Source organism: Homo sapiens, chromosome 3 (assembly GCF_000001405.40).
Source record: "Homo sapiens chromosome 3, GRCh38.p14 Primary Assembly".
Classification (NCBI taxonomy): domain Eukaryota; kingdom Metazoa; phylum Chordata; class Mammalia; order Primates; family Hominidae; genus Homo; species Homo sapiens.
In genome coordinates, this window is record NC_000003.12 from 12,176,533 (window position 1) to 12,193,041 (window position 16,509).

General features: G+C 47.9%; 1 protein-coding gene across 6 annotated transcripts in view, besides 3 other annotated features; it reads left to right on the forward strand.

Moving 5' to 3' along the window:
• SYN2 (synapsin II) overlaps nt 1–15,500 on the forward strand; it is a 187,645-nt gene extending 172,145 nt beyond the window's left edge. For 4 of the 6 annotated variants that reach the window (NM_133625.6, XM_006713312.5, XM_006713313.3 and 1 more), the window contains 3 exons: nt 6,780–6,840; nt 10,837–11,080; nt 13,958–15,500. In NM_133625.6, coding sequence (NP_598328.1) covers nt 6,780–6,840; nt 10,837–11,080; nt 13,958–14,093 — 441 coding nt within the window. In that variant the 3' untranslated portion in view covers nt 14,094–15,500. Of the gene's footprint in view, nt 1–1,826; nt 3,470–6,779; nt 9,196–10,836; nt 11,081–13,957 lie in introns of those variants that run through there. The other 2 variants (NM_003178.6, XM_006713311.4) reach the window with 2 other exon arrangements.
• Nucleotides 1,619–2,818: an enhancer, noted in NCBI's record as "BRD4-independent group 4 enhancer chr3:12219651-12220850 (GRCh37/hg19 assembly coordinates)". NCBI's record gives its function as "activates an origin of replication core promoter dependent on BRD2, P300/CBP, MED14 and CDK7 cofactors, and independent of BRD4, by STARR-seq in HCT116 cells {active_cell/tissue: HCT116}" and the evidence as "EXISTENCE:reporter gene assay evidence [ECO:0000049][PMID:35650434]".
• Nucleotides 10,845–10,954: an enhancer, noted in NCBI's record as "active region_19436". NCBI's record gives its function as "activates an Ori minimal core promoter by ATAC-STARR-seq in GM12878 lymphoblastoid cells {active_cell/tissue: GM12878}" and the evidence as "EXISTENCE:reporter gene assay evidence [ECO:0000049][PMID:35858748]".
• Nucleotides 11,155–11,294: an enhancer, noted in NCBI's record as "active region_19437". NCBI's record gives its function as "activates an Ori minimal core promoter by ATAC-STARR-seq in GM12878 lymphoblastoid cells {active_cell/tissue: GM12878}" and the evidence as "EXISTENCE:reporter gene assay evidence [ECO:0000049][PMID:35858748]".

Sequence of the window (16,509 nt, forward strand, 5' to 3'; positions counted from 1 at the left end):
GAAGCATTCATATACATTTGGTGTCCAGAATGAAAATGAACCTCTTCTCCTACCCTGAGCTGATCAGAGCACATCTGAAATGTTTCCAGTCTGAGGGTCACAGTATAACAAGGACAAACTCTAACTCCGATCAGAATGTGCTCAGAGGAGAGAAACCAGGAGGTTGAGGCATTTGGCAAATCTATGTTATGAGTAAAAGTTAAAGGAATTGCAGTTGAATAGCAGACATCTCAATGAGTGCATTAATTAATATCTTTAGCTCTCTGATGCCGCCATGGAGTAGAACTGATTCCAAAAGGCAAATCTGTTAGCAGACAGGTTTTGACCCAGTGTAGGGAGTAAACTCTCTAACACTCAGAAACGGCATGCGGCTGCCACATTGTTGCTGATGTTCAAGCAGGAGCAGGATGAGCAGCTTGTAAGGCACATGGTGAAAGGGGAGGGCTGGGGACTGGGGCTGTTGGAGCAGGTAACTTATAAAATCTCCTTCCAAGCCTGACATGCTGAGATCCAGACTGTGTGCAGCCATGGGACCTGGAAAAGGCTGTGATGAGAATTCAGAATTGAAGGACTGAGGCTGAATAACCTCTGGTGTCTGGTGGGACATTCTACCAGTCCTTTTTTGTACTGGTTCTCTGGTATGAAGAGAAACAGAACACATTTCCAGCTAGGTTTTTCCAGCCACAAAGGCTCTGAAACAAGCTTGTCTAACCTGCAGCCCAGGATGGCTTTGAATGCGTCCCAACACAAATTCATAAACTTCCTTAAAACATTATGAGATATTTTGCAATTTTTTTAGCTTATCAGCCATTGTTAGTGTTAGTGTATGTGTGGCCCAAGACAGTTCTTCTCCCAGTGTGGCCCATGAAAGCCAAAAGATTAGCCACCCGTGTTCTAAAATATGAGGTCTCCTGAGTGCAAGAAGACCAAGCCTAAGAAGGGGTTTCTTCACTCTGAGAAGTGGAGTCTAAAGGGCTGTCCAGTTAGGGAGGGGTCTCTGATCCCCGGCATGGGACTAACAGGGCTTCACTTGAGCTCAGAAGAGGTAAATTTAGGACAAATGAAAGGCCTTCCTGCTTCCCACAGCAGGAATGGCTTTAGCAAATTTCTTCCCCAGTGAGTATAAGCTGAGAATGTGAGGAGATTTGGGGCAGGTTCAGATAAAGCCACTAGTGACTAGATCCCTTAACAGACTATTAAGAGAAACTAACTATTCTGGGACTGTCTTAACTTTTCAGGGACATCTTTAATCATTTGAAGCTGACATTCTGACCTTGAGTGACCTGCCCCTCAGTGCCCCCAGAAGACTCAGGGACTGCCCCCATGGGATATTTCTTGGGTTCTAGGTTATGGGAGGGCCCCACTCCAGGAGATGAGCTCTGCAAGCAGAGAAGCAACTCCCCCCAGGAGGGAAGGAGAAGCGGCTCATCCCTGGGCACCTTTTAGAACCTTTTGGAGGAAGGAAGGTGGGCGCTGGTGACTGCAGGGGCAAGCCCAGAAAGATCCCAAGGTGCCTCAAAACATGCGGTCCCCTTTGCACCGACTAAACCTACAACCTCCTGACCACATTCTTTCCCGCTGCCTCATTCTCCCTGGGGTCCTAGACCAGGGAGCGGGGCCTGGGGGAGCTGATCAGAATAGTTCTGTGGCGTGTCCGGCAAGGAGCTTGGCCTGGCCTCTTTCCTGGGGCCAGACCCTGGGACCCTTTCCCAATTTCCTGTCTCAGATATGCTGAGCAAGCACAGGCCTTCCTCCTTGGTTGGGGCAGCTGGTCTCAGGCCAACAGCTCACAAGTGTTGAGTCACTCAATGTCTTTCCTTCCTCAGCTTTCCATCCTGCTGGGACTTCAGGAGCTCCTTTCTCCAGCTTGTCTGCCGAAAGCCACAGGATGGCATTTTAAAGTTACCTTTGACAAAAACCCACAAACCCTCATCCATGGGCTTGGTTTCTGTCACAGGCCAGTGATTTCCTTTCCAATCATCTCAAGAGCTAATATTTACCATTTCTGCAAGGACCTTGCTGGAACTAAGCAATATACAGAAGGCATGGTATAACCCAGACCAGAATTCCCTGCACATGAAACTGCTATGCATCAGGTGACAGGAAACCACACAACAATATCTTCTCCACTGATGCACGAAATTCTAACATTAGACCTCCCTTCCTTTGGATTGATATTTATTTTTTAAATAGTAGTAGGATGCTCACTTACATTGCCTAACACTTTACAGTTTACAAAGCACACTCTTTAGTTTAAGCCTAACAATCCTTATTTAAGATGTCTTGGGCTGGCAAATGTATCTTTGTTTCACATATCAGCAAAGAGAAGGCAACTGCCTTGCCCAAGGTCACACAGCTGCTAAGCAGGAGAGCTGGATCTTCTGGGCCCCAATTCAGGGAGTTCTCCACAATACTGTGCACCATGCCCTTTTGGTGCTCCCACATCAGCAGAGGCGAAGGTAAGAATGGAATGAGCTGGGCATTTGTGACTCTATATCTCTACGTAAGGAAAATCCTTGCATTCCTCCCTTAACAAGTGGTGGACCTACCAACCTGGAGGAGTCTTGAGCTTCACCAGCTCTCTCCTTCCTCCCTGGCTTCTCTGATCACTAAGCCCAGTAGATTCAGCGTAGCAGGATACCAGCCCAATTAGCTTTGATGGAAGCGGCACACTCTCCTTGCCAAGCTCCTGAAAGCCTATACCTGCAAGACATCTCTGCACAGGTCCAATAACCCTAGGGGTCTTGCTGAGTTTAAGACTCTGTAGCTGGTCCAGGCTGGTCTGGAACTCTGTAGCTAAGAAGGGATTGTCTCAGTTCTCACACACCGGAAGAACTGAAAGAAAAAAAAAAAAAAAAAAAAAAAGCATAAACGAATTCATGGAAGCCTAGAGCCAGAAGGGCCTGTAGAAGTCATGTGCCTGCAGCTACATGAGCCCCCCTAACCAAAGTTTGTCCAAGCACTGCTGAAATACCTCTCATGCCAGGAAGCTCACTACTACCCAAGCCAGCCCTTGACACTATTCAGATTTATATTTGACTAATTTCAATCTTCTACTAAGCCCTAGGTGCTTCCATGGTTACCTCATTTATACCATTTGGGAAACTGTGACTCAGGATAAGTAACTTGCCCAAAGTCACATGTGTAAAGTTGTCATTTCGAGACTTCTAACCATCCTATTTGCTCCATGTACCCATGTTTTTCTGCTAGCATCACCCTTAAGAGGTGGCCAGAACTGGTTGCAGTGCTCTCTCATGAGGCTTGATCAGCCAAAAGAACAGTGGTCCTATCACTTCCCCTTGTCAAGACATAGACATACCTCCAGCTGCATCCAATTTTTGGCAGCATCATTACAGACTGACACCCTTTGAGCCTGTCGTCACTCTGTAAACCCAAAGTTGGTTGGGGTTTATTATTTATTTATATATTTTTTTGAGACGGGGTCTCACTCTGTTGCCTAGGCTGGAATGCAGTGGCGTGATCCTGGCTCACTGCAGCATCCACCTCCCAGGCTCAAGCTATCCTCTTGCCACAGCCCTCTGGGTAGCTGGGACTATAAGCACATGCCACCATGCCCACCTAATTTTTGTATTTTTTGTAGAGACAGCGTTTCATCATGTTATCCAGGCTGGTCTCAAACTCCTGGGCTCAAGTGATCCACGCACCTCGGCCTCCCACAGTGTTGGGATTACAGGCGTGAGCCGCACCCAGCTGGGTTTTTTTTTTTTTATGCTACTATAAGGTCATTTATTCCCCTTCCGTTTTGTGTACAGCTAGGCACAAGCACTGCACTTCACATTCTTACCTGTTTGAATCAATCCAACTTCCTGAGGAAAGCTCTGCCTCTCAGTCTGGCCATGAGTTCCTGCTGTGGGCTGGCTCCAGGCCAGCCTTTGGCAGTGACGCCAGAGTGGCCAGACTTCTGTGGAATTCGGCATCCCAGGATGCTCTGGGTGACTGGAAACAGATCCCATGGTAGCCAAGCCCCACAGGGAATAGGCCCGGAGCCCCTAGTAGACAGCAGGCTTGTAGGTGGAGCCAGGGTGTCTCAGCCTGGCAAGGGACAGTCCTTGGGAATTCTCCTCCCCGCCTCCCGTAGCCCCTGAGAAGTCTTCCATACACAATCTCAGTGGAGCCGGGGCCAAGAGAAGCTTCCTAGGCGCCATCAAGGGTGGCCAAAGCATATTCCCAGGCTGCAGCCCAAAGGACTGCCTCCGGGAGCTCTTCCTCTCAAGCCTGGAAAAGGGCACTTCTGGGCTTAGTTCATCCGTGGGTGTCTTACATGTATATTCCTATGGCTGAGGAAAGACAAGGCCAGCCTACATGGTGTGATCACCCCTGTGAGCTCATCCTGTGTCTGGAGTTCTACCATTAAAGCTTAATCTATGGGATTTAAAACGTTTTCTTGGAATCATAGTTTCACTGGATTGGAAGGAACCTTAGCATTCATCCAGTCAATCTCATGTTTAAAAAAGGAATATTATCTATGATGTCTTTGTCAGGTCATTCACTACCCACTATGTGAACACATACGTCTACCTCCCAAAACAGCCTATCTCACTATTTTTACAAAAGAAAGTTCTACTTGTAGGTGAAAGTCTGCCCAGAGCTTTTGTGCCCACTGGCCCTGGTTCTGCTCTTATGCCACATAGTCTTCTGTAACCCTCTCTGGGAATACCAATTCTCTGGGAGGAGAACATCGTAAGCTGCTCTTGGCCAACATTTGAGATGATGCATTGGGACCCTTCAGTGGTACTGGGCATGAGGCCCTGGGGGAGAGACCAGCGAGAGCCAGTCCGGTAGCTTCACAAACTGGGACTTTTTCTGTCCTTCACCTAAGTATCTGTCTCTGACCATGAGAGGCTGTGGTGTTGAAGGCATGGGCCAGACTAGAGAATGAACAGTAGAGGATCAGGCCTGGACTGAGCAGCTGTTTATGACATAAAGGAGGGAGAAGGCTAGAAAGGGCAAGCCCAGCCATGCTGAAGCAACCAGGAGTGCTGATGATACCTCATACGGTACTGTGAGGTACAGGGAGATAGTGCACAATAGTGCATCCATGTTACTTGGAACACAGTAAGCACGCCATAAATGTCAGCTCTAGGTGATTTAGAGAAGTTAAGAGACACAACTAGAAAAAAGGTTTAGGAGGTTAATAGGTAGCCCCAGAGAAGATAGATTGGAAAGAAAAAGATGAAAGAATTAGGAGACTATTCTAGCAAGAAATGATAAAGGCCTGACCAAAGTTAGTCCAGGGAAGATGGTGACTCAGATACCAGGAGGGAAAAGTGGAGGAGTCCTGAAGGCTGATGGGATGGAGTGGTTTCCAGCTGGCTTCCCGGGTATGGGTATTGCAGTGTCAGGCTCAGACTGTGCCTTATGGATCCCAAGAAGGTCCCCAGAGGAAGGGAAAGGAAGTAGTGTTCTCACTGTGACTTGTGGGGGTTGAGGGTTATGGTAGAATGGGCACTCTGATGTGGTGGCACTGAGGACATTTCAAAGGCCCCCCTCCCAGCTGCTCTCCCAAATCCTCTCAGTAGAACAGTTCCGAGTAATGAGGTTAAAAGACTGTGATACTGAGAAGGTAACACTTCCTGGCAGTGGAGCTGAAAACAGGCCATAATGGGCAGGGAGATAAATGGCCAGAATGGGATGTCCAAGGGAAATGGGGAGCAGGAGGAGAAGCAGCTTTATGTGGGAGTAGGGCTGAGGGGCACATCAAGAGGGGAGAGGAGCACTGATGGTGAAGCGAGTGCTCACTGAGGACATGCTTGTTTTTAGCCACCGCCTTGCCTTGGAAGCCCCTCATTGACATCACCGTTGGCACACTTGGCAGACTTTAGGCTTCACAGAACATTTCCCTTGTGCTGAACTCAGACTCCAAACGTTCACTGCCTCTAATACAAGCATTAGACAAACTAAGTCGCACAGGTCTTTAATCCCGTCAGGGCATAATCAGAATCACGGCTGGGAGAGGGAGCATGGGATCGGAGCCATGCTGTTGGGTTAAGTGTAGTCATGCTGTTTGGGAGGGAAAAGCAGCCTGGCCTTGAGCGCTGTTACAAACATTAATGTCTTACTCTTTCCCTCTAAGGTAAGGAGGGTTCTGAGAAACAAATGACGACCCCTTTCTTTAAGTCCCTCCCTTTGGGAGTTCCCAGCCGAGTCCAAAGAGTGGATCTGATCTCCTGAGTCAGGCCTAGAACTGATCCCACTCCGGAGTTAACTCCAGATGAGAAGTGAGCCAAGCCTAGGCTAGTCACTAGGTCCGGCTGGGCGCAGGCATGCGCACACATACACTCCTCCCCTGCCCTCCTGCTCACCTGCCCCTAGAGCCACCTATAGTCCAACCCTGTCTCTGGGGTTTGGCGTTGGCCCTCCCTTTCCTTTAGACAGCCAGGCCTGTACGTAGAAGTGGGAGCTGGACTTGGACAGGCATCAGAAAACCAGAAAAGAAACCAGGTGGTGCTAGAGGACGCAAAGCTTCTAGAAAGAATGAGTCTAAATGGAGGAAAATGAAAAAGGGGTTGAAGAGGTCTCAGGCATTGTTACCAGAGTGGCTCCAAGCCCCAGACTGCCCACACTGCCCCAACAACACCCGAGGCTGAGGGTCCCCTTTAAAGTGTTTCTGGAGCAGCAGAAGCCTATGGCCAGATCCCACTGGATCCCACCAGGTCCCACCGGATTCCACTGCGGCCTTGCCATGGAGCCACGTGGTTTCTCTTTGGAATTCAGTGGCTTGGAGTTTTGTTTTTATCTCTTACATTTTTGTCTTCCAGAGCGGAACACTTAAGGATCCGGACTCAAGCAAGACCCCACCTCAGCGGCCACCCCCTCAAGGTTGTTTACAGTATATTCTCGACTGTAATGGCATTGCAGTAGGGCCAAAACAAGTCCAAGCTTCTTAAAATGATTGGTGGTTAATTTTTCAAAGCAGAAATTTTAAGCCAAAAACAAACGAAAGGAAAGCGGGGAGGGGAAAACAGACCCTCCCACTGGTGCCGTTGCTGCGTTCTTTCAATGCTGACTGGACTGTGTTTTTCCTATGCAGTGTCAGCTCCTCTGTCTGGTTGTTTACCTGTTCCTGTTCGTGCTTGTAATGCTCACTTATGTTTTCTCTGTATAACTTGTGATTCCAGGGCTGTTTGTCAACAGTATACAAAAGAATTGTGCCTCTCCCAAGTCCAGTGTGACTTTATCTTCTGGGTGGTTTGATAGTGTTTTTAAAAGTAATATATAATGTGGGGTGAAATGGGAGTAGGGGGGTGGACAGGGGAGAAACGAAAACCACAAAAAGAAAACCCAACTCCTCTCCTCCCCCCAAGCTCAGTTAAATCCCCCACCTCCAACTTTCCCTCCACCAGTGTGCTTGGGATCTTCAATGAACTGTGCTTTTCGCTTTCTTTCTGCATGACTATTGTAACTAGATAGAACATTAAGAGATTTTCAAGATCAAACTTCCATAGCTTCATCCACTGAATTTGAAGGCATCCACCTTTTTCTCCATTTGCTAAAATTTGGTGCAGTTTGAGTTTATGTGAATAGGCTGGCTGTGCCTGTAGAGCTCTTGTGTTTTTAGTGATGACATGAAATACAAAGAACAAGCTATTTCCAGGAATGTGTTCTGTATTTTACATCCCAGTGTACCCTTTATTTTATTATTAACTAATTAACTATGAGATTTTTAAAAAATGGGGCCGCTGATGTGCAATATCAAAGTGAACTTGTGAGTATTTTGTGTGTGTTGATCTCAGTTGTTTCTTCATTGTTGCTGTTTCTGGATCCAGCCATGTGTGCGCTTGTGTGGACCTGAGGCTGCTTTCTGTTCCCAAAGCTTGACCTGTGTACAGAGATAATTCCTTGGCAATGTTGGACATAGAATGCAGGGAGCTACTGAAGGTCTGTCAGGGATTTGTCCATTCTGCTCTTGGCCTCTCCTGAGGCCTCATAATGGGAGACCAAATCAAAAATGTCCCATGTCACTTGAGTGGGTACACTGCCTACAGAACCTTGAGGTTGACTCCTGCTTCAGTTCTCAGCTGTTTACCACAGCCCTCCAGGGTCCAAAGATTGAGGAGCTTTCTCTTTCCTGGGAGGAACTGTCTCAGATTTAGCTTGTGTGTGTTTTGGACAGAGGCTCCACAGCGGTGGCTCTTGAGGAATCCTCACCAGTTTGTTCTCTTCCCTCTGACAAGCAGCACCTGAGCAGATGCTGAGGCAGTTCATTAAACCAGGCCTCAGCTTCAGTGCCTCATCTTGCCATCTCCCGGCCAGGCTGGGAACGGGCACCAAGCAGCCGCCTCTAACAAACACCATGGTCCGTGGAAGTTCATGCCAGCAGCTTGCCTTTGAGAAGAAATGCTGCTGGCTCTATTTTTACATTCCCTTCCACCTCTATACTGTCATGTCACCGTTCTGAACTCCCAGATCTGAGAAGGAACTAGTGTTGGTGGTATGTAACAAGAGTTACGTATCCAGGGGCTTGTGCCTTGGTTTCTCCTTTGATTGCTGGTAAATTCTGAGGCCACAGAGAAATGCATTGAGTGTGAATGTTGTCATCTGTAATCCCTCCCTCAGCTGATAATGGTAGTTGATCTGTTGTAAATATATACATATATGCATATTTGCACTTCCAGATGGGTTGCATAAGAATCAGGTCCTTAAATACCTCCCAATCTGATGAAACGATAGAATAAAGTAACATTTCCCAGAATGGAGGAATACATTATTTTATCGTATATTTTTGTCCAAGCGATGAGCTGACGGTGGTATTGCTTCTCTGCATGTTATCAGTGTGTACATCTGGTGCTTTTCATGTGTCATTTGTGAGCCACAAATGCAAAGTTGCCATTTGAATTCAGTCAGGCTACAGGGTGGTGTCAGTCAAGGTCTTTCAGGTGGGGGAGAAATTGGTTAGGGCTCCCACTGCCAAATGCAAGCAGATAGCATAACCTGACTGTTATGTGCCCTCAGGCAGCATGCTTAGGGACAACTCTGTGGCCTGGGGGACATCTGTGTCACAGTATAGGATTGCCATTCAGGTGTTTTGTACCTATTTCTTTCCTGACGTTGTCCCCTTTTTTTGTACTGATCCAACTGGGAGAACCTCAGCCAATGCTGGAAGTATGATTGAAGTACCTCTCTTTTGTGACTCTTGTACAGCTTAATGTGCAATAAAGGAAAAGTTATATCTGTCTTCAGTGTTAAGTTGTAACGTTTCTGGCTATCCAAGTATCTGCACAAATGGGAAAGCACTCAGGTTTCTGGTGCAAGAGACTGAGCTATTAACCTGTATTACCTTACAGGAGAATGCTAATGCAAATGATGCCAAACTTTGGAAGTGGCAAAAGCTGGTTAATGTGAAATAATCTGCTAATCTATCATCTTCACTAGTTATTTGATTTGAATTTGGAGCTTCTTAAACCTGCAGAATTCCATTGATTTATGTATGTGTTTATTTCTCTGTAACTAACTCTGGTATTATTTGGTTAGATGATAAAGGGTATTCTGTGCCCTATAGTGGGGAACTGAGCGGATAGTCATGGGTGCACAGTGGCATAGACATACAGTTCTGCCTCTCCAGAGGGTGCAGATGTTCTGGTGTTTCTTAAAAACTAAGTGATAATACAACTAGCTGGTGCTGAGTTTCTGTAAGTCCACTCCCTCCAGCAGGCCCGTGGATGTGGACTGTGGGATTGAGGCTGAGAGACTGGACCTCCCAGGGCAGTCGTGCATCATTTCCACTAGTCAGTAGGTGCTAATGGGGATGGCTTTTGATTTCTAAGCGTTGGGACCCTCCTCAGCAAACTCTAGGCAATCTGGTACCACCTTAATGCCTGTCAACTCCCAGAGGAAGGAGGACCTTTTTCCTCTCCAGGCCACCAGATGGTTTAGTGTTTCATGCTGGGAGGAGGGTGTGCTGTTCCTTTTTAGGGGGGCTTTCATTTGCCAAATGGCACCCACAACATCCCCAGGGGAGAGTGGGGTTTGGATGTCTTGAGAATTCTACCACACATGGCTGAGAGGTTCATCCTGCTAGAACCCCTTGAGGATATTACTGAGAGGCAAAACAGTGCCTAGGAAGAATGGATTTCTCCTGGTTGTGGGCATGAGTTAATGCTAAAATGAAGCCCTGGTGGGGCATGGTGGGCCTGGCAATCAGACCCACGCAGGCTTGGAGCAGGACCAAGGGCAGCTCCATAAAACAGCATATGTCAGTGACCATCGAGGTGATCATAAGGTACGGAATACTTTTTGAAGAACTTGCTCAACCCTATTATCTTTGAAACACTACCCCTTAAAAGACAACTAAGACCAGGGCTTACACTTTTTAAAGTTTTATGTTTGGGAAAACCAAGGCCCAGGGAAGTTTGGTGACTTGCTCAGGGAGTCACTGGTAGACTATTTCTGAGATCCAGTGCTCTCTCCACCACACTCTCCTGCATCTGCCATGTGGAACTTGAGACTTCCCAATAAACCCTGGAGCAGGGTGGTCTGTGCCTGAGACACCTCTAGAGAGGAGGGGAGAGGACCCTGCATTCTAGGGCCCTCTGTGAGAGAGTGCGCCTCTGACGGGGCCGCTCGTCCCTGGTTCCTCCTTGTCCTGCTGACTGCTGCTGTGGCTGAGTTGCTCCGTTTCTGAGGAGAAGCACTTAGTGGCTATATACAAGGATAGCTAACCAAGGACCCCCTTTAGGGCCCTTCAGAGACTCCAGCTTCTTGGAATAGAGCTTATCCTTTGGGTAATTAACTAACCACACCCTTTGAGGCATAAATTCTAATAAGGAAACATTTTTATATGGTTAAATTATGAAGTTTTTCTTGTACTGAACCTAGGGGGCCCTGGGCAACCCCAAGGAATGCAGCCCCCAGGCAAGGTGCTGCCTCCACGCCGGCTCCCCCCTGGACCATCACTGCCACCTTCCTCCTCTTCCTCCTCTTCTTCCTCCTCCTCGGCTCCTCAGCGGCCGGGCGGCCCCACCACCCACGGAGATGCACCCTCCAGCAGCAGCTCCCTGGCAGAGGCCCAGCCACCCCTGGCTGCTCCACCACAGAAGCCCCAGCCTCACCCACAGCTCAAGTAAGAGACAACTCAGCAGCTCCTCCCTCCCCTCCTCCTACCCTTCCTGTGGGCCTTGGGCTCCAGAGCTGCTAGAAATCACCTTCAATCAGGTCTCCTCCTACAGATATTTTGTGATGGGATTTGGTTTTTTTTTGTTAGTTTGTTTTTGGTTTTTGTGTGTGTGTGTGTGTGTGTGTTTGGTTAAAGGAGTGGTTAGGGTTCACTGGAGAAGGGAGGAAAGAGGGAAGTGAAAGTCTAAAGTTTAGCTAGAAATTCAACCCCCTTCCCTTTCTTCCTGGGAAGTGGCACTACGGCAGAGTCACTGTCCCTTCTCTAGTCTTGTACTAGCTTAAGGTTTTGGTTTGTTTATTTTAAACCCTGTCTCCCACTCTTTTTTCCATTCCTTTTCTTTGTGTGTGTTTCTTTCTTTGTAAAAAAAAATTTTTAATCTTTCTGCCTCTGACTCACAGTTCAGAGTATGCAATCAGTAAGGCTGCCCAGAATGAAAAGAGGGAAGTAGTTAAATCCATTTCAACATTTTACCTTCAGCTCTGTCCAAAGGAGGTCAGTTTCTGGTGTGGGCAGCAGAGGAGTTCCCAGGCAGAGACGCTGAGGAACTCCATCCTCTTGGGTTCCCCCACACCCAGCAATCAACCCTAGAAGCCCCTCCACACTGCCCCACTGCACAGACCCCTGCAAGCAGCAGAGCTGTCTTTGGGAGGGACAGCACCTGGATGTGGACGATGGTCAGTTCTGCCCTCTCTCCCACAGAGGCCTCTGATTGCTTGTGCAGTGTCCCCAGCAGACTTCTGTCACCACCTTCAGCACAGACAGCCGTAGCCTTAGGGGGATGGTAAGGGGATGGTAGTGATACACCCCTGCTTCTCAGAGTGAGGTGACGGGCAACAAATGACTCTTCAGGGAGGGAGAAAAGGGGGCTGGAGAATTCTGGAGTTGAAATGAGCCACTAGGAGATCATGTAGTCATTGCAGATGAGAAAAACTTTGCTCAAAGAAAAATTTTTTTTTTTCTCAAAGCCGAGCTACTCCTCTAATTAGTGGCAGAGCCAAGGTTGCGGGGCTCAGGTGTCCAGATGGTCACTTTCTCTGGGTCTTCCAGTCCCGTGTGATGGGAGGGGCATCACCCACTCTTGCTCCCCAGCTCGGGCCAGTGGCACCTCTTGCCTCTTGCCTGCCACATAATGTCCCTTCAGCCCAGCTGTTTCCTGCCTGCTGACTTTTTTTTAATCCCTCCTGCCTTCCCACTAGCCAACTCTAGCCCCCGCGTGAGGGCAGATCCTTGGATTGTCACTGCCTCTGGGCTGAAGCTGTTGAATAGAGCCAACCTCTGATGAGAAGCTGGAGGCTCATCCCCAGTACTCTGCCTGTGCGGGCTGAGGAGTGCCCCCACTCCCAGAGGCCAGCGTGTTGGGTCTCGTTCCCAGCCCTAATGAAAGGCAGGGTGTCTGTTCACAGTCACTGCAGGCAGAGAGAGACTGCTCACAGTTCTGTAGAAGGGAGTTTCTCCTGAGCTGCACCCAGCATTTAAGGGAGGGCTGAGAGTCCCAAGACACCAGGAGAAGAGTTCTGGAGCCAGAAAGCAGCAGGAGTGAGTAGGAGTCAAGAAGGAGAAAAGCTGGGCCGCTGGAGAAGCCAGACCTCATGTCCTCTCCTGGAGTACAGGCTGGGCCTCCCCATGGCCTTGTGCTTCATGGTTTTTCTCTGTGAACCACTAGTCTCTCAAGGGGAGAATAGGCCCCTAAAATGTTGTAGTTTGGATTTTCTCATTAGAAAACTCCCTAAGAAACTTGTAAAGGCCTGATATATATCTCTTTTGCCACTGGACACCCTGAACCCCATAGACCTCATATTAGCGCTCTTCTGAGGAGGGTTACAAGGGTGGTTACTACATCCATTTTAAGAACAGGGAAATTGCCGGGTGCGGTGGCTCACGCCTCTAATCCCAGCACTTTAGGAGGCAGAGGCGGACGGATCATGAGGTCAGGAGTTCAGGACCAGCCTGGCCAAGTGAAACCCCATCTCTACTAAAAATACAAAAATTAGCTGGGCATGGTGGCAACCATCTGTAGTCCCAGCTACTTGGGAGGCTGAGGCAGTAGAATCGCTTGAACCGGGAGGCGGAGGTTGCAGTGAGCAGAGATCGCACCACTGCACTCCAGCCTTTGCGACAGAGATTCTGTCTCAAAAAAAAACAAAACAAAACAAACAAAAAGAGAACAGGGAAATTGAAGTGTTAGAGTTTTGAGCCAAGCCAATATATTCTTTTGGAATCAGAGAAGAGATCAGAATAGAAAGAGCCAAAAGTGCCTAGAGATCTTCATTTTACCAAACTTGACAGATGAGAACCCAAAGAGAGGCACGTGGCTTGCCTCCAGTTAGGAGGGAGTGAGTGGCAAAACGAGACTTTGGCCCAGGTCTTCTCATCTGGCTCCACCAGTTGACAGTTGATAGAGAAGACAATGCCAGCATCACAGGCCCATTGTGACTTCTTTTCATCAGAAAAGTAATGTGAGATTCCTAGGTTAGTTCTTACCAAGTTGGGATCTGTGAAATTTAGCCCTTGGGCATTTCAGATTAAATTAAAGAAGCGGCCTTTGAGTCGCCTCTTCCTCCTCTTTCCCTTCTTTATTTTTTTCCTTCTCCCTTGTTCCCACACTGTCCCCACCCTTTCTATTCTAGTAGCACCAAAGTTGAGGAAGTAGCGTAGGAGTCTCCCAGGGTCTTGGTAGCATGGCCACTTCTGGCATTATCCTCCATCACCTTGGTTTCCCAGGGAGGGAGTGGGGGTTCTAGCTGTGTATCCTCACGTCACCGTCCTTCCCTGCCTTGCTGGGAACACCACCCTCTCACATTCTCTCTGGTTTTTATCTTCAAGCAAGTCGCAGTCCCTGACAAATGCCTTCAGCTTCTCTGAGTCCTCCTTCTTCCGGTCTTCAGCCAATGAGGATGAAGCCAAAGCAGAGACCATCCGGAGCTTGAGGAAGTCCTTTGCCAGCCTCTTTTCAGATTAGCTCTTCAGACACACGGGGCACCCAGCCCAACCGGGAAAGGCATCTAAGACATTCACCAACAACAGTCAGCCAGCTTGGTGGTTATGTCCCATGACCTTGACGTGTGTGGTCCCTTCCTCTGCTCTGTTGTACTAAGTGATGTTGTGCAGCCCAGAAAGGACCATTTGACAGTCTCAGGGCAGGTGCCTACCCAGCAAGGGGTACCTGGCATCAGAGAGGAAAGAGCTGCTTCCCTGTAGTCATGAGAGCTTCCTTCTGAAGTCATCGTTCGCTGTGAGTTTAGTGGCCTTATTGTGACAGTGCCATCATGTCTTATTCTTCCCTGTGAAACCAGGATTAATCGTGGACTCCTGGCAGCTTAACCTAGCTCAGTTGCAGTGCTAAGCATGCCCCGCCCCCATTCAGTGATACCTGTTTGGGAAGTATATACTTCCCCAAAAGTACTCTTGGCCCTAAGTTTTAGGAACTTTCCCCGACCTGGATCCCTTGTCATACCTGTGTTACTGTTTAAAGCACACCCACCCAACTTACAAGATCTTAGGCTGCTGTGGTGGTGAAGCACCTTGAGTCTGCTGATATTCGGGAGAACAAGGATCTGCAGTTTCCCCTTTTCTCCCCTCTGAAGAGTGGTTCTTATGTGCAATCTGCAGTAACCTTGAACTCCAGAGCTGCACTATAGAGGAGAATGCATGCCACTATGACAGCAGTATGCCAAGCTTTGTGTTCATCTCCTAATAAACGTTAAGACCTTTGGTGTAATAAAAGCAGCAGCATTCACCAACATTTGATTCAGCCATGAGGTCTTGACCCCTTGGCCACCCTTTAGGCTGAGAGAGTGTCCATGAGGGGTGTGTGTGTGTGTGTGCTTGAGTGTAGGGAGTGAAAAATCTAGGTGTGTGAAGCTGTTTGTGTCAGTTTGTGTGTGTGACTGCAGGTGTACATGTGTTTGCAAGTGTTTGAGAATGTGTCTGTCCTTTACATACCACTTCTGGGCCTCCTCGCACCTCCCCAGTGAATCTGTCTCCTCCAAGACACCTAGCCTTCCTTCAGCAACTCAGCGTTTCTACCTATATTACGGACTTTGTAACCTTTCAAATAAGCACAGAACCCTTGCTCCCGGAGGAGTCAATTTAGACTCACTTGCCTGGTCTATCATCAAGCTCCTCAGCTGAGGCCCACATGGTGGTGCCAATGAGGCTGGACCAACCTGCTCTGACAACCAGGCTCCCACAGATCTCAACGAAGGCATCCTAAAGAGGCCTGCAATTGAGGGTGGGCTCTGAGGGATTTCACTCTGGCTGCTTCATGACTCCCTGATACTCAAGTATATTTTCCCAAAGACCACGGATGCTGTGAAGATAAACACTACATCTGCACCAATAAAAAATCCATATATTAAAATGTTAATATCTGAATGTTAATAAGTATCTAGATAATTTCCTACACATGACACCCATCCTACTAACTCAACAAGATAACCTCCTCCAAATGCCACTATCTTAACTTCTCTTCACGGGCAGTAGATGCTGCAAGGTCAGAGAATGAATTTCTCCGAGAACCAGGGTCTCCTTTCTTACTCATTCTCTGTTTTCACAGTTCAAGGATTGAGCACCGTACCCTCTTCTTACACTTAGAAAACAGGAAGTAGAACCTCCCATTGAGTGACCCCTGGGGGGTGAGAGCCCTCCTCCCACAACACACATAACTAAGGAACAAACCAACCAAACCAATGCGTGGGGTACCTGGGCGCAAGGCAATTGACCTTTAGAGTTCCTTCTGTTTCCAGCTGTAGGGGAGGCAGATGTCCTCTTAACGTTCTGTGGCTGGGCCTGAAAATTAAGCATACATAAGACAGATGAACAGGACAAACGTATACACATTTTATTTAATATTTTTATGCGTACGTGGGAATCTTCATAAGGAAAATGAAGACCCAAGCTGTTAAGCCCAAAACTTGTATACCATTTTAAACAAAGAATGATAAATTGTGACGATATGACAAAACAAAGGCGTCTGGGCTAGTCAGCCAGTAAATTGTGGGAAAGTAGGAAATATATGGGAGAAACTAATGGGAGAGAAGGGTTACAAGTTTTAGTAAGGTTTTGTCTGTGGAGATTCATCTCAGTGTCAACTCCCTGTCTCTGGTGATAAGAATGTTTGTTCCCTTCTTCCTTCTGGGGGAGAGGCACCCTTCCCACAAGAAGTTTTAGTCCTGCTTCAGACAGGAAGGGGGAAGTCGGAAAACCTTTCCTGCATCTGTTGTTGTTCTGTTGCCTTCAGCTCAACATAAACAATATGCCAAAGTGGCATATTTTGAGGTAGCATACTCTGACCCCCTTCACAAACCAAGAGTCTGCCACTAGCCATTGCTTCTATCCCCGATTCCAAATATGTTTTAAGAGAAGTCATTCATTTA